We start from the raw sequence: 24,564 nt of genomic DNA on the forward strand, positions 1-24,564 counted from the left end.
CTTTTCTTCTGACCCAGGAGTTTCATGTCTTCTGCCAGATCCATGAGACTGTGGCAGGCCAAGTTATTAGCTAGAAAGTTTGATAAAATCTCTAATTATCCATAGTTCTTGACAAAATGCACTCATTCAGTTAATCCTTTCCACAGCACAATTCTACTAATAATGACACAACAGAATTTTCTTTACAATTTCTATTCCTTTTGAAATTTGCTTTCAATTGGAAGAATGTTTTACTCATAAAGTTATTCATAACCATCAAAATAAAATCAGACTAAATGTATTTTTTCAAAGCAATAAAAACAGGGTATTTATGCAAATTTGATAAAATCAATTTCATGAAATAAAATTGTGGTATACAGAAATATTTTTATTGATAAAATGTTTTCTTCTTATGTGGGACAGTTGCTACAAAATTGATGCATGCTTTCTGGTGAGAAAGAATTGCACTCCTCCCCTCTCTTTTTACTTTAACAAATATCCCAAAATATATGTCTAGATGAGAATAATACTTTAGTCCTTTGATGATAATATTTCCTGAAATATTTTGGAAATTTTTCCATTAGAATTGCTTTCAGAGATAAAAGAATATTTATTAGCATGTCAAATTATAATAATTTTTCTAAGGTATATTTTATATATTAGAAACTGTCAGTACCCATTAAGAATAAAATCTAATAATGAAGATGGGTTATTAATTTAATTAATAGCATTAAATTAAACATATGACTATGGAGACACAATGGCAATTTTTTTTCTATTGACTGATAAAATTATTTTTCATTTCCATAAACTATTAATATTGTTCTAGAAAAATTATTATCGTCAAAGGCCTAAGGTTTTTTTTTTATTCTTTTGGTTAACATTTTGTCTCTAGGATCTCTTTTGATGTTGTACTTACTAGCTTGTTTATTCCATTACTGTGTAATACTCTCTTTGTCAGAATATAGTGTAGTTTTAAGTATCTATTACAGTGTTTATGGATATATGGACTGTTTCTAGGTTTGGAATATTTTGAGTAATGCTGCCAACTGTAAAGATAATTTGGTGTACTTATGTGTACATTTCCCTGGGGTATAGACCTATAAATAGAACCCCTATGTCATAAACTATGTCCACATTCAACTTTAGTGATACTGCTAATCAATTTTCAAAATATTTTTGTCAATTTCTACTTCCATCTGCAGTGTATGAAAGGTTTAGTTAGTGAACACTATTGACAACACTTGGTATTGTTTTTCTCATAATATTTTCCAACTATTGAAGGTAGGGTATAGTATATAATTAAAATAGCATATATTAGCTTAATTACCAAATTTTAAGCATATTTTGAACATTTTTGCATAGGTTTAGTGACTATTTGGATATCGTTTACAGGAAATATGTTTAAGACTCTTCCATATTTATGTTTTCTGTCTTTTTCACAGTTTCTATTAGTATTTATTTATTGTACATATGTATCGTACATTTTTACATTATGTCTTTCCTTATCAATGTATTTTTGTGGGAGGTTAAAATTGATTTAAAAAATTTGTGGATACATAGTAGGTGTGTATGGGGAACATGAGATAGTTTGATACAGGCACACAATGTGTAGAAATCTTATCAAATGCTTAATAGAATATTTTGATAATTAGAAGTTTACAATTTTAATATAACTTAAATTGAAACTTTCTTTACAATGGTGCTCTTATGTTCAGTTTAAGAAATCTTTATCTACAAAGGGTGATATATTCTCCTACTTTTCTCTTTGAAGTTATGTTGCTATTTTTTTCTTATTGTAAGAAAATGGTTACATAATGAAGTATAATATTTTTTCAGCTACAGAGATCTTTAGGATTTGACCCTTGTTTGAACTGCTTTCTATTTAATTTAAGGAAAATGAAAGAGTCTTAATTAGCTGTACTGAATTCATTTACAGGAATGAAAATATGGATCAATATGGGACTGTCAGGAATTTACGTTGTATATAATACTTTACTTTTTGTCAACATTGTTCAGTGTACTAATTTATAATTGATGACCTATAGCTGAATCAACAAGTACAAGCTAGTCATATATCTCTGAGGGGGTTATTTGACTAGCAAGTTATAAAGGCTGGAGAGACCCAGAGCTGATAGTTTCACTGTGCTAATGTGGACTGCACCCATTTAAGCTTATTTCTTGTGGTTCTGGTGTGCGTGTGTGTGTGTGTGTGTGTGTGTGTGTGTGTGTGTGTCTAGAAGTATTGGTAGCTTTGCCTGGGAATTGTGAGACCTCTGGCATGCTGTTCCTGTACTGTACCTTTTTTAAACCTAAAAAACTACCTTTCCTCTAAACTCTGTGCTAGGTCAAGACTAAGACTATGAAATTATCCTGTTTCATCCTTACGTTGACCAAGAGCCAATACAAGACTTCTAGACATCTTTGGAGATAGGCATAAATGTGCCCAAGTTTGGCTGCAAGCGAACTCTAGTTTATTCAGTGCTTCCAAGTATCAGGTATTTATATTTATGTTTTTGGAGGTTGTATTTTGGGGGTTATATTTCAATTCTTAATGTATCTTCAACACCTTGGTTATCAAATTAACTGGTGCAATGTGATTCTAGAAAATAGCAGCAATATTCATATTTTAAATATCTCCCCAATTTAATATTTCTACAAATTAAACCATCTTATAAGTCTAAATTTCATATTTTAATTTTCTCTTTAAGGAAATATATCTGAAAAATTATGAGAAAGACAATCATTGGTATGACATAATTCTGCAATTCTATGTATTGCATCGAATGTATATATGCAATTCTGCATATGTAAAAAATCAAATTGAAAATTTAGTAATTTCTCTGTAATTTATCCAAGCAGCCTCCAAGAATGAGTTGTAACAAAGGTCACACACAAAACGAAACTTGCAGAGGCATAAACAATATTCTCAAGTTTGTGCTTTATCCAATAGATAAGTAATAATGCACCTTGAGATTAATAAGTATTTTTCTGCAAGAGTTTTATATGTTCTAAACAGTCTTGAGAAAAGAAGAGAGAAGCACAGAAAGGCACACTGTAATTGTTAAATGAAGAAGCAAACATTCATCCTGAGCTCAAAATAATATTTTTAAAATTATTAATTTATGAAAAACAATATTACTTCCATTAACAACTTTACATATTAAAATTTTGCAGCTCTTCAGAAGTAATTTCGTAAAATATTTAGTAGCTAGTATAATTTAATAGTGTCAACATTTTGAAAATAAATAAAGTCTTGCAACTTCACATAATCTAAAAACAAGCAAATTACATCTATCTTTTGCTATTTATTAGGGTTTATGACTAAGCCAGAAAATTATGAAGTTGGTTCAAGGGGGAGCAGGTTATGCAGCAGGTATTCTGCATAAAAAGTAATACCTAAAAAATTTGGAGATGTAATCCATCAGAAGGAAATACTCATGATATTGAAAAGTAGCACCTCTACTGCTGATATGGACATATATTAGTGTCACAGGATCCTTGGAGTGTAGCTTCACCAATTGGGAACTTTTGTGGCTGGTGGCACCTTCTGCCTGAGTGTTGCTCACACCTGCTGGGCTTGTTCCTCCCACACAGCCAAGCAGGCTGCGCTCAGCTTGAACTACTGACCCAGATTCCATACCTGCCAAGGTGGAGCTAGGCACAGTGTGGCAAGAGGTGTGTGGCCAAGCAAGTACAGGGTCTGGCCACTGCATACAGCCAGGCATGTCACTGCTGCAGCAGGGCAGGCCAGCTCCAGGTGCCAGCACAGGTGTGGGCTCTATGCAAGGTTGTGGCTGGACAAGATGTACTGCATGAGGCTTCTGAAGGTTGTGGCTAGACAAGATGTACTGCATGAGGCATCTGCTGCAGGCATCTGCATCTGCATCTGGACAAGGGGAATGTGATGGTTCCTAAAAGCTTGGAAACACCAGGAACCACAGAGCCCTGAAGAGGGCATCACAACCTTGGCTCTAGGATCCTCTAGGTCTGGGCTCTCCAAAAGGTCTTCTCTCCTTCTTATCGCCTGCAAGATGGAGAGCAGTTGTGGGTGAGAGGGTGTGTTTCATCCCTGTTTGTGTTACAGCTCTTTCAGTCCTGCCATTCAGTGGAACCCAAATTCTTACCCTGCATCCAGGAAGATTGAGGTATGCAAACAACTGGAGGGTGAACAAGGTAGAGAGGAACATCATTGAGTGATGAAACAGCTGTCAGGAGACCTGTAGTGGGTAGCTCCTTTCCGCAGGCAGGTCATGCCAGTAAGTGTCCAGCTCTCAGCAGAGAGGAAACTCACAGTGGGTAGCTCTTTTCCACAGGCAGGTTGTTCTGATGAGTGTCCAGCTTTCGGTGGAGAGCATACCCATAGTGGGTAGCTTCTTTCCACAGGCAGGTCATCCCAGTGAGTGTCCAGTTCTCAGCAGAGAGGAGACCCTCAGTGGGTAGCTCCTTTCTGCAAGCAGGGTATCCCAATGTCTGTCCTAGTCTGGCTGAGTCTGGGGTTTTTATGGGCTCAGAAGGGAGGAAGTGCATGTGGATTGATACATGGGTGATCATGGGTGGGCCTGGAAAAAGCACCATAAGTTCTCACTCTGGGCCATGGACTCCACCTGGAACTGGCAGCTTGGACCCAAGGCTTCAGGCTGTCCCTGGTTTGAAGGTGCAGTTTTACCAGGAACCCACCCCTTTCGACCCAGAACCCTGTCTGCCTCCTGCCACCATAAACATGCCATCCACGGTGCCCATGCTTTGTGTCAAGAAGCGCCTGAAGGCCCATGCCAAACCACTCTCAGCCCCACCTGAGGCTCCCTCCCATGCTTGTCAATGCCCAAGTCCAGAGAGGGCCAATAAGGCAGGGGGCTGGCATGTCAGCACCAGCCTGAGCATGCACACACCCTGCCAGGTTGCAACAGCACTCAGGCTGAGCCACAACTTCACTGTGCCCCCAGAGCAAGCACTGAGAGTGGGGAGAGGCCAGTGAGCAGTAGCAGGTACTTCCGAGTGCACCAGAGCTGGGGGCTTCCAGGGTCTCTAAGAGGGCAGTTATGCCCTGGTCCAGAGCCACCGCTGGGCAGCTGCAGCTACACCCAGGAGTGCAGGGCTTCTGCTCCACCAAGTCAGTATAGGGCAGGGCTCCTGACTTTTCTCAGTTCCCGCTGGCTCTGAGTAGACCTAAGCCCCGCTGCAGCCAGCATTTTCACAGTGGCTGCACCAGACGGGCCACTCTTGCAATTAGTAGTTTATTGAGAGAATGCCAATTTTGGATAATACCAAGGCCCCCTATAGCAATTTATAAAAGTTATAAAGTATCACCAGACATCCTGAGGCATAGCTGGAAAAGGGAATATGTTTTGGAGAGACTTTAAATGATACATTATTTTTCATACAGTTGTGAAATACAGACCCACTAAACATTTTAACATTTATGTGAATGTCCCAAGATTAGGAGCTTTGTACATGATAAATGCTGAATAAATAAATGCTTAATAAATTAATATATCAATTAATGTTAATTAGTTCTTAAAATAATGGGTGTAAAAAGTTCAGAGAGACTTATAATCAAGGATAAAGGCAAAGTATTAGTATATTATGTAATTTATATTCAAGGTATTCTTCAATACTGCCTTTTTAAGAAACATTATTCTCTTATAATTAAATAAAAATAATTATTTGGGTAAGGTTGCTAATCTCTGTTTCATACAGTTAGTCCGTAATTAGATATAGTTGAATATTTTGACAAGGTCATTTGCAAAACATCTCCATTTAACTGTTGGCAAATTGATTAAATTACAACATAAATACAAATTTAAATTCTAAAGTGCTTCATAATGCAAAATGAGATAAACAGGTAAACTTAAAATGCTGTCTTTAAGATAAAATATTTCCTTTGATTATTTAAATAATATGCACTAATAAAGAAAATATTACACTATATGATCACCTTGATCATATTAACATGTTTGCTTTCTGTGCTTTGTAGGTTATTATCATATTAAGCCAAGGATAATGTATTTTATTGTCATCCTTTTTCATGCTTCTTACACAGAAATGTTGTACTTCAATTAATGTATCAAAACAGATTATTTATTTTTAAAAATAACCATTTTTGTCTTTTTCTTTTTTATATCTACTTGATAAAATACCAATTTAAGAGTTATATATTCTAGAGAGTGGATATAATTTTTTCCCAGGCTAAGAAAGCAATTGATCAAGTTAAGTTTTAATGAAATCAAGCAGCAGATATTAACAACTTTGTACAAAATTCTTGGTTACAAAAAGGATGTGAAGCCTATATTTCCACTAGAAAATTACAGATCTAGTTGTAGCTTTATGTTTTGAGATACATCTTTTCACTCTTAAAATACATAACCAAATAATCACTGACTTCAGCGAGGGAAAATTATCTTGAAAGACACAACCCATTAAGTTAAAACACTACAGAAATTTGAGAGAGAAAAAAGACTACTTATTATTCTGTCATCTGCTTAGTAGAGTATCTTCTGAAATGTGTAAACTATTCTACATGGATACTTGGAAAGTACACCAAGGTGATCATTTTAATCCATGCATAGGAAAACATTGCATTTGTTTACTAAATGAATAACAAAGATTTTTAAACCAGGGAGATCTAACATAAGATTTTATTCTGCGTATTTTTTATAAACAGTATGTCTCACACATGCAGTCAGAAAAGGCAAATATTGGATCAGAAGATCTTAACCTTACTATAGTTTCTTGTATTCAACAGCATCATGCTATTTCTGACGGAATACCTCCAGGCCTGGTGCTGAAGAGTAAAACTCTAGGCCTCGTTGTTAAAAGTATATTAGTGTGGTTGAAAGAACTCTGCCTTCACTGTGACAAAGACTTCCTCTTTGACCAAAATTTAGTCAGGTAACTGTGAGCCCTCTGCTCCACTAGGTCTCAACCTTGGGCTTCTGTCTTCATCTTTGTCAAATTCATTGATAGCAAGAATCCTAAGCCAGTTTAACAAGAAATCATCACTGTTGATATCTGATCATCCTGGCCTGCTTTAAGCAAAGATTCTAAGTGGGTTTATCAAAAATCCTCTCTCCTTGATGTCTCCTTTCAGTAATTTCCATCCATTGATTCCCTCATCCTGCTTGTCAGTTACATTGATTTCTTTTTTTTTCTTTTTTTGCCATATTCATAGCTAAGCCTCACCTTTATTTCCTATTGCAATATCCCTATTGCAATAGTCTTGACTAAAGTTTTCCCTACTGTTTTAGCAAGTGCCAGAGTATTTTTTTAGCAAGGAAATTTTCCCCCATTGACATATGGAAACAAAGAAGAAAGTCTATAAATAAGCTTTAAAAATGCATTATACCATAATATAAAATGTAAGAAAAGATACTGTCATATATGATATTTCTAACACATTTTAAAAGAAAACAATAAGACAAAGTAATATGGAATACTAAGACATAAGGTTGGCCATAGATATAGGAAAATATCATGTGCTTGTGTAGAGCAGAGTGAATTTACCGTAAATAAGCACAGAATCTCATGATTATTAACTATGTGTTTTGATTATACAATATTAAAGCATTATCATAAACATTCTCTCATTTTTTAAGAAAAATTTTGTCTAATAATAGAGAATGTGTTTGGCTTGCCTCCCCCAAAGAAAATATTTATCTATAATTTCTAAACTAATTAGTTTATAACTAATTAATTACCAGGACTTTGACTTGTTGATTAATATCCTTGCTCCTATATTTAATATACATTATTATTTATATCACCTACTGAAGGGAGTAGTTTCTCAGATGAAATCCAAGAACTATTGCAAACACGTCAATAATCATTCATATCAATATACCGTTGATCCTACTTTATTTATAAAATAGTATTAATACACTAGAATATTCATTTTACATGTACTTTGTCAGAGCATAATTTTAGATTTCTGATTTAAATGAAGAATAGAAAGAGTGTCAGAAAAGATTAAAATTTTTATGCCAAAATTTATTGCCAGTTTTAAAAAAACGTTTCCAGTAAAATCATTTGGAAATAGTTTGAGAAAACAGTTATGGAACAAATAACAACAAAAATCCCCATGACTATGATAATACAGTATAGGAGTTGGCAAGTCTCTAAAAAACAACATGGGGCCTACACATTTTTACTTAAGAATGTGGGGCATGATGTTATTATATATATATATATATATATATATATATATAAAATTAACCGGAAATAAGAAGACTTTGTCTTCTGACAACCCAGGCATGAGCTCTTAGTTTTAGGAGACAAATTCAAACCTATTTCATAATCATGGAAATTTCCATAGCAATACATCAGAAAACGTTTGATATACGCTCAGCTTGGTGCTATGTAGAAGTTTAAAATGTATTTTTGGTTAGAAAGCTGTTATATGACTTAACTCTGCTGTTAATCATGGATTATAGAAAGAAGGTAAGGTACTAGAGAATGACAAAAGAAGCAGCCCATCCCTGCAGAGATACACAGAGATACACGAATTGACGTTCTGATTAATATGTAGGAATAAGTTATTGTGGTTTAGTTGGCAGTTTTTCAATAACTAATGAATCTGAACATGTTCTCATAATATCACTGGTTTTTAAAACATTGTTTAAAATATCTGAATGGGTCTTTTATGTATTTATAAAGTATCTATTTAGTTGGGTGTTAATTTTTATAATTGATTTGTGTGATACGGATATAAAATTTCTTTTACAACTTTTCTCATTTTGGCTTGCTTTTCAATCCATTAAAGGTGCTTACTGATAAATAGAGGTTCTTAGTTTTATCACTTTTATCCTTCACACCTTGGTTAAGAAACCTTTGCCTAACTTCCATGGTCATGAAAATAGTATCGTCTGTTTTTTTTTTCAAAGCACTTTATCATTTGGCTTTCACATTTAGATTTAAAATTTATGTAGACTTAGTGTGCTATGAGGTAAATTTCTAAGTAATTTTTTCCAGTAGGTAACCAGTGATCCAGCACAATTTAATGAAAAGATGATTCCATTGCCACTGCAACTTTGTTTTTCATAATTCAGATAAACATATATTCATGTACCCCTTTAGGTTATCTATTCAGTTCTGTTGTTTTATTTATCTATTTTTATACCAATATCATACTATCTAAATTATTAAGGCTTCATAATGAATTTTAGTCTCCTTTTGCTATTTCTGGCCTTTGACATTAGTGTTTAAATTTGAATATCACACACTTAATAAGCCTGCAATCTACTAGCTATAACAAATTCAACATGAATTTCAGAACACAGTTACTAGGATAACCATAGTAAAATGTCTACAGAAACATTTAGCAGAAAGAAAAGAAAAAGAAAAGCAATGAAAGTAATCATAGATTTAAGAATGGATCAATAAATTTTGTAATAGTCACAAAATGAAATACTATGTCATGATAAGGAATGAATCTCAACTATAAGCTATGACAAGAATAAAATTTTAATATCATATCATGAAGTCAAAAAAGCAAGCCCCAGAAATGAAAATATAATATGAGAGTGTTTCATAAAATTCAGCAAGTAATACAAATTGATAAGTATATAGACAGAAATAGATAATAGGGTTGGGGGTTATGGTGGCCTACACGAGGCCTAGGCAGGAGAATCACTTGAGGCCAGGAGTTTGATATCAGCCAGAGCAAGTAAGATTCCCTTCTCTATAAAAATTTAAAAATTAGCCGAATGTGGTGGCGTGTACCTGTAGTCCTAGGTACTTGGGAGGCTGGGGCAGGATGATTGCTTGAGCCCAGGAAGTTTTGGTTACAGTGAGCTATGATTGTGCCACTATACACCAACCTTGGCAACAGAGTAAAACTCAGTCACTAAGGGGGAAAAAAAAAGATATGATAAAACTTTATAAATGTATGTGAGTGTATGATAAATATTTTTAAAGAATGAGAATATTAAAACTCAAAAATAAAAACAAAATAAAAAATTGATGGAAGGAAAGAGAACAAGCAAATAAATAAATAAGATGTTATTACCTATGTAATACATTTTTGGATATATTCTACTTTTGTTCGACAGTGTTTTTACATATCTGCATGAGTAAATGTCCAGGCATTAAAAATATTGGAATTGTTCTCATAAAACAAAAACTATGCATAATTCAACTTTATACCTGAGATCATAAATAATTAACCAATTAAATAAATACATATGTTATGTAGATATTTAATTCACATCATACCAAATCCGTGTTTTCCACAGAATTTTTTTTCATGCTTGATGATACAAATATATATTTTTAACCACATTTCTTTCTTTTAAGAAATTCTTCAAACTTTCTTAATCATTGAGTTGTATAATGACAAAAAGTTCGGGGTTATAAATGTAATTCACTTATAAAACTGATAATTTTATAAGAAAATTTGAATAGGCTAAAAATAATTTTTAAAGTTCTAATATCTTGCTCTTTCCAAGAGGAACTTTGTGTTTAACAAGATTGAAAGTTGCAGATCTCCTCATATAAATGCAAACTAGATGTGGCATACAGAAAAGGCCATTTCCTCAAATCTAAATCTCTTTAAACATCTGATCTAATATTGAAAAAAATTCCATCAGAAAAGTAACAACAAACTTTCCTATAAAGGCCAAAGGGTATCCAAAGAAAATTGAAAAAAAAACTACGCATAATTACAGACATAACAAACATTAGTTACTTTTACCAATACATTATTCCACACGCAATGTTAATTTTTCTCCCCCTGCCCTACCAGCACTTTCCCTATAAAGTGTTGATTTAAACACTTGATTCTGATAGAAAACCTGAAAGTTTTGCTATTTTAAACAGGTGTGTACATAATAGCACAAAGACTAATTTTCAGCACTCTCAAGTATAAAAAAGAGCCTTTGAAAAGCAATATAATATTTGACAAGAATTGTTCCATAATGTTTTGAGATACCCAAAGGCTGTGTTATATTTGTATTTTTTAAGCTTGCACTTCTCCACACTTTTATTTTCTAACAACTCTAAATCTGTATACAACAACCTGTCAACCAGAGTCATTTAATAGTTGTAAAAAGTAGGAAAAGAAGATTATCGATACGATAGTATGAACCCTCATTGTTATTATTTTTATAGTGCCTACGAATGATTCTAACTCTGAACTCTAAATAGGTCTCTCTCTCTCTCTCCCTGATTGGTGGTCTCATCAGATTCAATGCCATCTACACAATGAAAATTCCTAGATGTACATCCTTAGCCAAGTTTCCTCTCCTAAACTCCGTACAGGTAAACCTAATGATTTGATATAGATCTCCACTTAGATGCTCTCTGCACATTCCCCCAAAACCTGTCATAGATTTCCTCATTTTTACTAAATAGTTATGGTTATTTAATTATTTTGGTTGCACAAATGGAACCCAAATGCTATAGTTGACCCATTCTTTCCACTTCATACAATTTCTCAATATATTCTGTGGACTCTAATTGAATATGTTCAATCTCTCCATATATTCTGTGGACTCTACTTGAAATATGTTTGTAGAATTTGATCACTTCTCACAGTCTCCATTACTTTTGCTCAAGCACCATAATTTCTCAAAATTTTTACAATAGCCTAACTGGTCACCTTTTGACCTTGTCATATTACTTTCTCCTATCCAAAGGCAGACAAAGTGATCTTTTAGAAAGGTAGGTCTTATAATGTCATACCATTGTTCCAACCTCCTTAAAGGCTTCACACTTAAAATAAAAGCAAAAGTTCCTGCAAGACATCTATTCTGTCATTATCTTTGTGACCTTGTCACCTATTGCTCTACCTCTTATCCAGAAACTTCAGTTTTTCACTATTCTGAACACACATCAAGCATTCTCCTGTTTCGACCAAGCATTTTCCTATCTTGGCTACCACACCATCCTTGAGTACTTCTTCAAGTGCTAACTGATATGATATGTCTATCATTTAACATTGGAAAAGCATCCTTTATACACACACACACACATACATATGTATATTATATATTTTATATATCTAGATCAATATCTATCTATCTATCTATCTATCATCTATCTATATCTACATGCCCATCTGTGTCTTCATCTGTATGTCTTACATTTACTATAAGTATATATATAGTAATTCTTTAAACTTAGATTAAATTATTTTGAAGTGAAAATTCTTTAAGTAATTTGCCCTTTAGGGCCTATTAAGAAACCACTGTCTTATAAATTTTCTCATGCAATACATATGAGCAAAATGTAATGAAAATGGTATGTCAGCCAGCTGTGGTGGCTTACTCATGTAATACCACCCCTTTGGGAGGCTGAAGTGTGTGGATCACTTGAGGTCAGGAGCTTGGGACCACCCTGGTCAACATGGCGAAACCTTGTCTAAAAATACAAAAATTAGCCAGGTGTGGTAGTGTGTGCCTGTAATGCCAGCTACTTGGGCAGCTGAGGCAGGAGAATTGCTTGAACCCGGGAGGTGGAGGTTGCAGTGAGCTGAGATTGAGCCACTGCACTTCTGCCTGGGCAAAAAGAGTGAGGCTCTGTCAAAAAAAAAAAAAAAAAAAAAAAAAAAAAGAAAAGAAAACGATATGTCAAGCAAATACATGTGCCTACTGAAAGAGCTCCAAGTGGCCAAGGCTGGAACAAATGGAGCAAAACAAAAGGAAACGGTCAAATTATTTTCTAGAATGTCTGCATTATTTTACATCTCTATTGGTGATGAATGAGATAGCCACTGATCCTGGTAAGGTTGTGCTCCGTGATCCCTAGATTGTACTTATTGTACTTTTTCTAAAAACAATGTCTTTAGTCTTTCTTGTTCTTGTTTACTTTTTTTTTTTTTTTTTTTTTTTTTTTTTTTTTTTTTTGGAGATGGAGTCTCACTCTGTCGCCCAGGCTGGAGTGCAATGGCGGGAGGCACTGCAGCCTCCACCTCCTGGGTTCAAGCAATTCTCTTGCCTCAGCCTTCCGAGTACCTGGGATTACAGGCATGCCCCACCGTACCCGGCTAATTTTGTAATTTACTTAGTAGAGTCGGGGTTTCTCCATGTTGGTCAGGCTCCTCTTGAACTCCCGACCTCAGTTGATCCACCTGCCTCAGCATCCCAAAGTGCTGGGATTATAGGCATGAGTCACCGTGCCTGTCCTGCTTTGGTTTTTAAATTTATATCACATACAGATATTTGTATTTTATTGTATGAGCTATAGAGCTACATTTATTGCCTTACATATGGATAAATGCCAATACTATCAATCAATTTATTTTATTTTATTTTTCAGCAGTTAAGTCATATTACTATTGAAGTGAGCATTGATACATTTGATTAATATCGATCACATTTATAACTGTTTTCCATTCATTTCACTTATTCTTTGTTTTTTTCCCCTTCTTTTTCTACCTTCTCTGGTTTTAATTGGGTGTATTATATAGTTTCATTTTAACCCCTATTCAGTTATATCAATAATATAAATTACTTTGTAATATTTTTAGTTTTGTTCTAGAGTTTTCAAAAGCATCTTAAACTAATCTAAACCTCTCTTAAAATAACACTATTCCACTTCACATATACTGCAGTTGTCTTAACGCAGATCATTCTCAATACTTCCCTCCCATACATTACAACACTGTTGTCATTCATTTATTCTTATGTTATAGTCACACAAAGCTGTGTGAATAACTGTTTTAGTATTACTTTAAAAAACTTATCATGTAGATCAATTAAAAACAGAATAAGTAAATTATTTTATTCAGCCTTTATTTATCCCTTCTCAACACTCTTTCTTTATGTCAATCTGAGTTTCTGACTTTGATTTGCCTGAAGAACTTCTTTAACATTTCTTTCTGGGCATGCCTGCTGGCAATAGATTTTCCTGATTTTTGTTTGTTTAAGAAAGGCTTTTCCATTCACATTTACAGGATAATTTTGCCTGATATAGAATTCTAGGCTCATAGAGTTTTTTTTTTCTTTCCACATAAATATTTTACTATATTCTCTCCTTGTGTGCACGGTTCTAAGAAAAAGTACAATGTAATTCTTATCCTTGTTTCTTTACATGTAAGATGTGTCCTCTGCCCCTGCTCCATCTAGGTTTTTTTTTTTTTTTTTGAGATTTTCCTCCTTGTCTTTGATTTTCTACACTTTTTATATGCTATACCTAGGTATAGATGCTTGAGGACTTATCCTGCGTTGTGTTCTCTGAGATTTCTGGATCTGGTGGGTTTTTTTGTTTGTTTTTGTTTTTGTTTTTTTTTTGTCTGTAATTGACTTTTTTTAGTGTAATTGATTTTTTCAATTTTTTGACCACTATTATCTAAAGCTATTCTTCTGCTCTTTTCTCTCTTCTGGTTTTCTATTTTTGCATAAGTTATGCCCTTTGAAATTGTCTCACATTCAGCTTTTCTTCATTCCTTTTTCTCTGTGCAGTTCAGGTTGGGAGATTTCTTTGATTCTTGCTAATATTTTTCTTTGGTCTGCCAGTTTACTGATGAGCCCATCAAAAGCATAATTTGTTTCCATTTCAGAGTTTTTGATTTCTAGCATTTCCTTTTGATTCTGTCTTATCATTTCCATCCCTTTGCTTACTTGTCTATCTATTCTTGCATGCTGTCTACTTTCTCCATTAAAGCCTTCAACAGGTTAACCATAGGTATTTTATATTACTGTGAGATAATTCTATAATCTGTTTCATGTTTGAGTTTGGTTGGGATTCTTGCTTTGTCTATTCAGACAGTATTTTTGTCTTGCCTTTAGCATTTTTTGTTTAAAGATAAGCATGATGTATTGAGTAATAGGAACTGAGAAAAATAGATCTTTACTGTGATTTTATGCTAATATGGCTAGAAGTTGTGTTCTATTTCATATTTTCTGTAGCTGTAGGTGCTTAAAATTATTCTAATGTCTAGTATTTTTGTCTCCCTTGTGTATGGGTTTTCCTAAGAACTTCTATCAAGTATTGTTCTTGCTATTTTGCATCTTTTAAAACTATAATCCACTATAGTGGAGCCCTGTTTATATGGTGGTAAAGTGTGGGGAAGGGGAAATATTCCATGATTTTATAAGATAATTATATGTGTTTATCTCAATGTTTTAGTGGGTAAGTGTCCCTAGGCTGTGATATTCTCAAGCATTTCTTATCTCCAATTTCTCTCCTTAGGTTAGACAGGAGAGCAAGAAGATCTGGGTTTTGGTAATATTTCTTCTCCCGATAAAGTCTTTCCCCCTGTTTTCTTATGGCTAACTCTCTGGATGCATTTCATCATGGTCATTTTCTTCTTTCCTATGCCAGAGGTAACAGGGACTCTTTCTTGGCTTTTTATGATGAGAATCTGGTAATATTCCTGGAGGTATCATTCATTCACTGTATTAATTTTGGTGTGGGGAAAATAAATAAGGCTCCCACCCTGAAGCTATTTTATACTCAGCCTCCAGCAATTCATCGAAATCACTATTAAAGTGTTACCAGTTTATTGTTCCAGCAGCCCAAAAACTCAGAAGCTGCTGGAGCAGATCTACTTCAGGTAAGCAGATGTTGGCTGTGTTTTTACTTTTTTCCTTTGGCAATCTCTCCAAGTTTGGGTGTGGTGGTTTGCTTTGCAAGCTCCCATCTCTGATGAGTCCAAGAAGTCATTTACTTTGGTTTGTTCAGCTTGGTCTTTTTTGTAAGGATAGGATGACAACTTCCAAATGTGTCAGGGCTGCTACTTATTTATTGAGATTAATGTTCTATTCTAAAGTGTTCACTCTACTAGTAGAGTTCCTGGGGACTGAGTAAAATTCAAATTCATGAGCTTCACCCAGCACAATTTTATTTAGGTTTAAAAAACTGTGCAGGGACAAGGCATGGTGGCTCATGACTGTAATTTCAACACTTTAGGAGGCTAAGGCAGGTGATTCATTTGAGCACAAGAGTTCGAGACCAACCTGAGCAACATAGCAAGATCCTAACTTTTATAAAGTAAAAATATAAATATAAATAAATAAATTAAAAAGCATGCAGGTTAAGAAATAACATAGCATTCATGGTATAATTCATATGTCATGTCTTTAAGGTACAACTTTCCTTGATCATAAAACGATGTAAATGTGCGTGGTGTATTAGGCCATTCTTGTGTTGCTATAAAGAAATACCTGGGACTGGGTAATTTATAAAGAAAAGAGGTTTAATTGGCTCAGATTTCTGCAGACGGTAGAAGAAACACTGTGCTGGCTGGCATTTGTTTCTGGTGAGGGTCTCAGATAGCTTACAGTCATGGTGGAACGTTAAAGGGAAGCAGTTGTCTCACATGATGAGAGTGTGAGCAAGAAAGAGAGGGAAGGGGTGCCACACACTTTAAACAACCATATCTCGCGTGAACTGACTTATCACCAAGGAAATGGTGCTAAGCCATTTATGAGGTATCCATCTCATGATCCAAACACCTCCCACCAGACCCCACCTCCAACAATGGGGATTATATTTCAAAATGAGATTTGGAGGAGACAAATATTCAAATCACATCATATAGGTACTTCCATTCAGGGAAATAATTAGCTCTGGGGCTGTAACTGTCCAATGGGTTCACCTTGCCTGCTGCCTAGACAGAGCTGATTTATCAAGACAGGGGAGCTGCAATACAGAAAGAATAATTCGTGCAGAGCTGGCTGTGAGGGAGACCGGAGTTTCATTTTTACTCAAATCAGTCTCCCTGAGCATTTGGGAGTTAGAGTTTTTAAGGACAACTTGGTGGGTGGAGAGAAGCCAGTGAGCCAGGAGTGCAGATTGGTCCGGTCAGAGATGAAATCACGGGGAGATGAACCTGTCCTCCTGTGCTGAGTCAGTTCCTGGGGCGGGGGCCAGGGGGCGGTTGGGAGGCACACAAGATCAGATGAGCCAGTTTACAGCCTCCCTTGGTAGCTGCGTGATTCCTAAAACATAATTTCTAATCTTGTGGCTAATTTGTTAGTCCTACAAAGGCAGTCTAGTCCCCAGGCAAGAAGGAGGTTTGTCTTGGGAAAAAGCTGTTATCATCTTTGTTTTACACTGTAAACTTAGTTCCTCCCAAAGTTAGTTTGTCCTACGCCCAGGAATAAAAAAGGACAGCTTGGAGTTTAGAAGCAAGACAGAGTTGGTTAGGTAATATCTCTTTCACTGTCCCAATTACAATTTTGCAATGGTGGTTTCAGGGCTATTTAAGCATTGATACCTAGTTAGCCACACAATTCACACAATGCATGTAATTAAATGTCACCTGCAATTCACTCAGCTCCCTCAGAAATGTTATTACCCCCATTATCTGGAATGCCTTCATTGCATCAATGAAAGTTATCCTTTGCTGAATCTCAGGAATTAGTCTGATGCATAGTCTTACATGCATTTTCATATATCACATGTGTGGTATAGGCTGACTCTGAAAATATCCTAGATTTATAACATAAAAGTAAAATTCTTATCCCTCTGACTGACTGAACAGACCCCTCTTGGCCAAGGAGACCACAGAATAACTTTCAAAAGTTTCCCCATCCATGACAAGACAAGAGGTCAGTTGCACCTCACGATACCCTCTTCCTCACTAACCATTAACAGAATATTTTTCCTAATAGTTAAACAGAATCCAGCCCTGGAAAACAAAGAATGTAAGACTCCTACAGCGACTTCAACTTCACCAACCTCATGACACCACTACCAGGCTCCCCTCCATTTTCCGGATTTCCACATGACAGCTGGCGAGCTTACAGAGCATTCCTTCCTGATAAACGAGTACTGACCATCGGCTTCTAGCTGGCTTACAGAGCATGAATGAAAAGCGTCTTTTGACTTTTTAATAATAGCCATTCTGACTGGTGTGAGATGGTATCTCATTGTGGTTTTGATTTGCATGTTACTAATGATCAGTGATGTTGATATTTGCATATGTCTTTTTTTTGAGAAGTGCCTGTTCATGTCCTTATTGCACTTTTTACTAGGGTTGTTTGTTTTGTTCTTGTAAATTTGTTTTAGTTGCTTATAGATCCTGGATATGTCAAATGCATAGTTTGCAAAAATTTCCCCCCATTGTGCAGGTTGTCTGTTTACTCTGTTGATAGCTTATTTTTCTATGCAGAAGCTCTTAATTAGATCCCATTTGTCAAATTTTGCTTTTGTTGCAATTGCTTTTGGCATCTTCATCATAAAATATTTGCCCATGCCTATGTACTGAATGGTATTGCCTAGGATTTTTTCCAGGGTTTTTATAGTTTTAGGTTTTACATTTCAGTCTTTAACCCATGTTGAGTTGATTTTTGTGTATGACGTAAGGAAGGGGCCCAGTTTCACTTTTCTGCATATGGCTAGCCAATTTTTCCAGAACCATTTATTATATAGGGAGTTCTTTCCCTATTGCTTGTTTTTGTCAGGTTTGTCAAAGATAAGATGATTGCAGGTGTGCGGTCTTATTCCTGGGTTTTCTATTCGGTTCCATTGGCCTATGTGTCTGTTCTTGTACCAGTATCAAGGTGTTTTGGTTACTATAGCCTTACAGTAGAGTTTGAAGTTGGGTAGCATGATGCTTCTAGCTTTGTTCTTTTTGTTAGGATTTCCTTGGTTATTGAGCCTCTTTTTTGGTTCCATACGAATTTTAAAATAGTTTTTTTTTTCTAGTTCTGCAAAGACTGTCAATGGTAGTTTAATGGGAATAGAATTGTATCTATAAATTCCTTTGGGTAGTATGGGCATTTTCACGATATTGATTCTTCCTATCCATGAGCATGGAATATTTTTCCATTTGTTTGTGTCGTCTCTAATTTCTTTGAGCAGTGGTTTGTAGTTTCTCTTGTAGAGGTCCCTCACTTTCCTTGTTAGCTGTATTTCTAGGAATTTTATTCTTTTTTGTGGTAATTGTGAATGTTTATGAATGAAGTACTAATAAGTTGTTTGGAAGCTCTCTGAGCATTGGTCATTCTTACCATAGGGACTGATAAGTCAGAAAACTGGGTCTTTTTTTGGAGAATTTACTAAAATTCATATATATATACACATATATATATACACATACATGTGATATATGAAAATATGATACATGAAAATGCATGTAAGACATGTGATATATGAAAATGTATATACACATATGTATGTGTATACATATGTGTATATATACACATATTATATATACACACACACAGATATATATATATATATATATATACACATATTATATATACACACACACAGATATATATATATATATATATACATTTTTTTTTCTCCTGGTCAAATTAGTTTCTCAAGAAGGCAATTTTCAGTATCCTTTCTGGGGGACTGTAAATTTAGATTCTAGTATTCTGATAGTAATCTAATAGAAACAAAAAAAACAAACTGAGGTTGTTCAAATTCATCCTGCCAATTTTCATATAATCTACCTGTTTTCAGTGTGGCACCTCACTTTCATTCTCAGTTGTGTCTGGTATTTATGTTCTAGCACTTGTCTCTTTTAGTATCAGGAAGTAAACATTACATTTGTGAGGCCCAGTCACTTGATAATAGGCTTGGAAAATGAATCTGGGGATTAACCTTCTACTTAACCAGTTACTTCTTTTTCAGATTATTATTTAAAATTACCCAAAACTTTAATTATCTGTCAGGAATCTCAACAGGGCATTGCTTTTTATTTAGAATGTGAGAACAGTTAATTTTCATGTTTAAACACATTTTAAATTGATACGTTAAGCTATTTTGTCTATCTTCTTTATATTTTCTAAGGTTTTATTGACTTTTCAGTATGCTTTTATTTCTATTATACTGGGTTTGCTTGCTTGTCTCTGTTTCGTGGTATTTGTTTGCTTTTTAGTGCCGTAATGTCAAAAAATATGCTCATCCAACTGGGTTTAATGATACATTCTCTCCTCTCAGTTTTGCAGAATTGAATAAAAATATCTAACAAAAAGAAAAAATTAATTAAAATGATGCCCCTATATCTTACCGTCATGATTACAAAAATATTATTTACATAAAGAAAAACGTGAACAAAACAAAGTACCAAAGAATATCTATTCTCTGCCATAAAGTATTTTACCCATAAAATTATAATGAAGAGAATTTAGATAAGAGTAACGAAGAATATATTTGGGTCAAAGAAAATGATATTATCTTTCAACTTAATTTTGCATCTTGGGGGATAGGGAGTTACAACCTGTTTCTATGTTCATTCCAGATTTTCATTACTGAGCTTATTAATTATAGGTTAATTCTTTTTATATGATTTAATATTTTTATTGCATTTTGACGCTGCTATTTTCTACAGTACAGTGGACTACACTAGAGAATATACTGGGCTTGAATTTTACAGGTTTATGCATATTTTCAGATATCCTGAAAACACTTTTTAAAAATATAACAAAACTATAAAACACACTCTCTTTTCCTTTGTATATAAATTTATTTGTACCTTAGTATATTCATACCACTTCTAAGTAATAAAAAAAGTTGCGTCTATTTTCTTTCAAAGGATGCAATGAGAATGAAAATCAAGACACAATGCTAAAAGTATAATAGGAACCTGTAGGATGTTAATTGTTATTTGATATTGCTGTGTGATAATGTCTCATAATTGCCACTTAAAGTAAGGTACAGCAAGACGTAGTGTAATGTCTTTGATAGTTTGACTGAAAGATAATTTTTCTAAATATTCTAAGAGCAATGAGTCACTGCAAAGAAACTAGAGAGCAAAAAAGGCGGGAAACATTTATCACCAACTTGTAAAGGGAGAAATGTCCTCTGAAGAAAAATATCACAATACAATATGGTAATAATTACTTAACTATGTTTGAGTCTACATTGCCTAAATTTATTCTACTTTGGCTAGAAACAACATTAATATGTACATGCAGGTCTGAGTTTGGTAAATATATTATTAATATGATTTTATCACCTTATTAAACAAGAAAAACAGCTAAGGTAAAAATCAATTTGAAAGGAAAAGACTTGAAATTATCTTTACAACCCTGTGGAAACAGACCTAATTTTATGTGTTACTGCAAAAGGAGAAAACAGAATAAAAGCTATGATAAAATTATACAAGAGAGACTAAACCCCATTGAAAATATGAACCATAAAGAAATAAATCCTTAGTATTATGTAAGCAGAGTACTCTTTACACAGATGAATGTAAGTCTTCACAAAAAATATATACTTAGTTTTCTATAAATAACATTTTGCTGTATCTTATTTTGGTAAAATGTATGCATTATTAATGAGACAGTGACCATTTTTATTAACATTTCTTTGTGTTAATTTTTACATCAAAAGATTAACTTAAAATGCAATGTGTTAATAGTGTATTAGTAGTAATAATATTAATCATGCATTGTATTTTAAATTTATCTTTAGGATTGTAATGTACAGGTAATGAATTTAATGGGAACTATAATAATCATGCCGGTATCTTTTCTAAAATGGATATAAATTAATTCCCACATTTTACATTAAATTAAACAATTTATGGCTAGTCAAAGTGCATTTTACTATAAAATTTCATTTGATATATAACAAATCTATTAGAATACTTATTATATTTTTCCTAAATAATATCTATGAAACCATAAATTTTTGTAATATATTTTGAAATTTGATAGTGTTGAGTAACAGTTTCTATCTCATATCTTTGTTTCTATTTTATCCAATAATTTATTTTGTCAATCATCTAATAGTATATTTAATTAGGGCACTGTGGCTTAATGATATAGATAAAAAATGACATTAACATTATATAATTCCAAATTAAGGAAAGATTTGCCTTATTCTTAGTAGAAAAGGAGCTTCACACTTACACTTTTAACAAAGTAGGTTAATTTTTACATAAGTACATAGAATTCTATATATCTAAAATATTTTAGGAATTTGTACAACCAAACTTGGCTCCCAGGACCTACAATAAGTTCAGGATTATTTAGATTCATAACTTTTACCACTTTTTAAACTTGCTGCTTCCACTTAAAATTATTTGGCAATTACGTGCATGTTAGTACTGAGATTAGTCAGGATCCTAGAAGGAGTACATCTCAGAAAGTTTAATAAAAGAAATATTCACCAAAGAAAACAAAATAGGAAGAGTACAGCACTCCTGAGTTTACATGATAGATACCATTGGGCACCTCTGGGCAAGAGGAGGGACCACTTACCTAAATCCAGAGTAGCTGTATGAAGACGACCAACTCTCAGGAGCTGTGGGAAAGACACAGACCACTGAAGTTAACCTGTCAGAAAGATAATCAGGAGAAACAATATCCTGAATTATCTTTCCTCCACTTCTCTGTTCTCCTGAAAATATCTCCTATTGGCCAAATCCAACAAGATAAAGTGCAAAAGAACTCATTGGTACAAACTACAATCTTAGCCTCCTGAGATAAAGAACTGAGTGGAGAAGACAAATGGTAGTATTGGGAGTACAAGTTGAGCATCATAGACACTACAAACATTATGGTCAACATTTTAAGAGAAAAAACATCATCAATTTTTTTCTGTAATTGGGAGAGTAATTCTATATGTCTCTGGAATAGAAAAAAAGGAGAACAGCAGAAAAAAAGGAGCCAGATAGACAATGAGGAGCAGACTGTTAGTTCTAACACTACAGATTGAGTCGGCCTTTAAGCTATAGAAAAGGATGAGCAAAGTTTTGAGAAGAGTTGTGGCCAATCATATTTGTTCCTCAGAAACATCATATTGTCTATGATTGATTGTATGGAGGTGGTCAAAGAAAGGGTAGGCCAGAGTGACATGATTTCTGAATGACACCTAAGAAGCAATATATTTCATACACTGAAAGCAACAGATTACAAGATGTAAACAAAGTTTATGGTAAGGGAATGAAAGATAATTAGATTAATTTTAGTCATATTTAATTATAATATTTAGTAGAATAACCAATATTTGAAATTAAAATTTCAAATAAACAGATATGTTTTTATGGTCTTTAAAAAAATGATGAGTTGGCAGTAATAAGTTGGAAATCATCAACATATATTGGCAAATAAAGCCAAGCTAGAGCAAGAAAAGTGCCTGGTAGGAAGGCACATATGGGCTGAAAATGGAAAACAGTTCAAAGGAAAGCTCAAGATATATCAAAAATGTAAAAGTATTGCTCAGTGCTGAGTAATAAATTATTGGACTCATAATTAAAAGTAGTACTTTATTCCAGGAATTGTTTTAGGTCCCTGGGACACCATGGTAAAGAAGATATACCTTAGTCTTGACTTCACAGAACCTCCTGTCAGTGAGTAAAAAAGAGAAAACCATATAAATAACAAGTATAATATTATCAAGTAGAATTAGTGTTAAAGAAATAAACAGATTTAAATGACAATTCGTATGTTAACATATTTAGGTAAGGTCTTTTAAAGAAATAGTTGTTTGGATTGCTGGCTGAAAGCAGAGAAAAAGCTATCAACATGATGTGTAAGAGTAGAGTATTAACAAGTTATTTGAAAAGTCAGTGGTAAGGCTATATGTTTTTACCAATATCTTAAAGATAGTTGATATGTTTTCCTCAAAAAGTTTTATAATTTTTGTTTTTAGCTAGAGTCCTCCAGTTAATGACCATTGTCATTATCTTTCCTTTTATTTAGATTACTTATTTCTCTCAAAAATATTTTGAATATTTTAGTAGTATCTCTAATGTAGTTTAAGTAAACAAAGATATCTTTAACAAGATATTAAATTTTAAAAATGATAAAATTTTAAAAATAATAAAAATAAATAATTGAAAATAAATTTAAAAAATCTTGGTCTTTTAATCAACATTTAGTAATAGGGATCAGATGTACACTTCTTTCTAAAAAAAATAATGAATAAAATATATGAAACAGTTTAAAGGCGATGGACATCAGACAATGAAGACCATGGTCCCTGAGATTCTGGGAACAAATAAAGTGAGCGCTGGGTTTGTTTTAATTCACTTCCTTGTATGAGTTTCCTGGCAGCAGGACATTGGAGGGAGAAATTCAGGAATGTCCTAATAAAACTTGCAGTTAGGAGATGAAGCCGAGAGTCCAGGGAGATTAAACATCAAGAGAGTTCAGAACAGAATGCTAAGGAAAAAAATTCTACAAAGGGAAAAAATTCTCGATACCTCTGAAGGGTTGTTCTTCTACAGTTGGCTGAGTACAGATAAGTCCATACCTGTAAGGAAAACATCCTAGGTCAGAATAACAACCACCTGAATAGATTAGGTACCAACACATGGCCAAAAATAGTGTCTGTTCTCAGAAGCCACAGTGAATTTCTCATAATTCACAGGGCATTGGGTAGGGTATTCAGAAGGTCTTGAGTCAGTAGTGGGGTATAATTAATCTTGGACGAAACACTTCACTACTCCTATCAAACAGTTCTTACAAACGGGACTCCCCTTCCCAGTAAGCATTTTCTAAGTAGTTAAACTAGATTGCAAGCCAATATTTATAGAAATATGTAAATATCCAGTACTCAACAAGATAAAAAAAACTGCTTGGTAGCTAAGCAAAAATTACTATGCATGCAAAAAATAGAAATAACTAATAAGGAGAACAACAAACAACTTGAAAGACACTCAAAAGTGGCACAAACGGTATAACTGCTATACAGGGATATCTAAAAAGCTATCATAATCATAGGCATTCCTTCCCCCCC

At 34.0% G+C, this 24,564-nt stretch overlaps 1 long non-coding RNA gene across 1 annotated transcript; it reads right to left on the reverse strand.

The window, feature by feature from the left end:
- On the reverse strand, nt 1–24,077 carry LOC105378880 (uncharacterized). Its single transcript, XR_947657.1, has 3 exons — nt 24,029–24,077; nt 22,083–22,125; nt 1–70 (listed from the first exon to the last, which is right to left on the reverse strand). It is a non-coding gene; the product is annotated as an uncharacterized LOC105378880 (long non-coding RNA).
- Between the last annotated feature and the right edge of the window lie 487 nt (nt 24,078–24,564).

The sequence above is a fragment of the Homo sapiens genome, chromosome 1 (assembly GCF_000001405.40).
Source record: "Homo sapiens chromosome 1, GRCh38.p14 Primary Assembly".
Classification (NCBI taxonomy): Eukaryota; Metazoa; Chordata; class Mammalia; order Primates; family Hominidae; genus Homo; species Homo sapiens.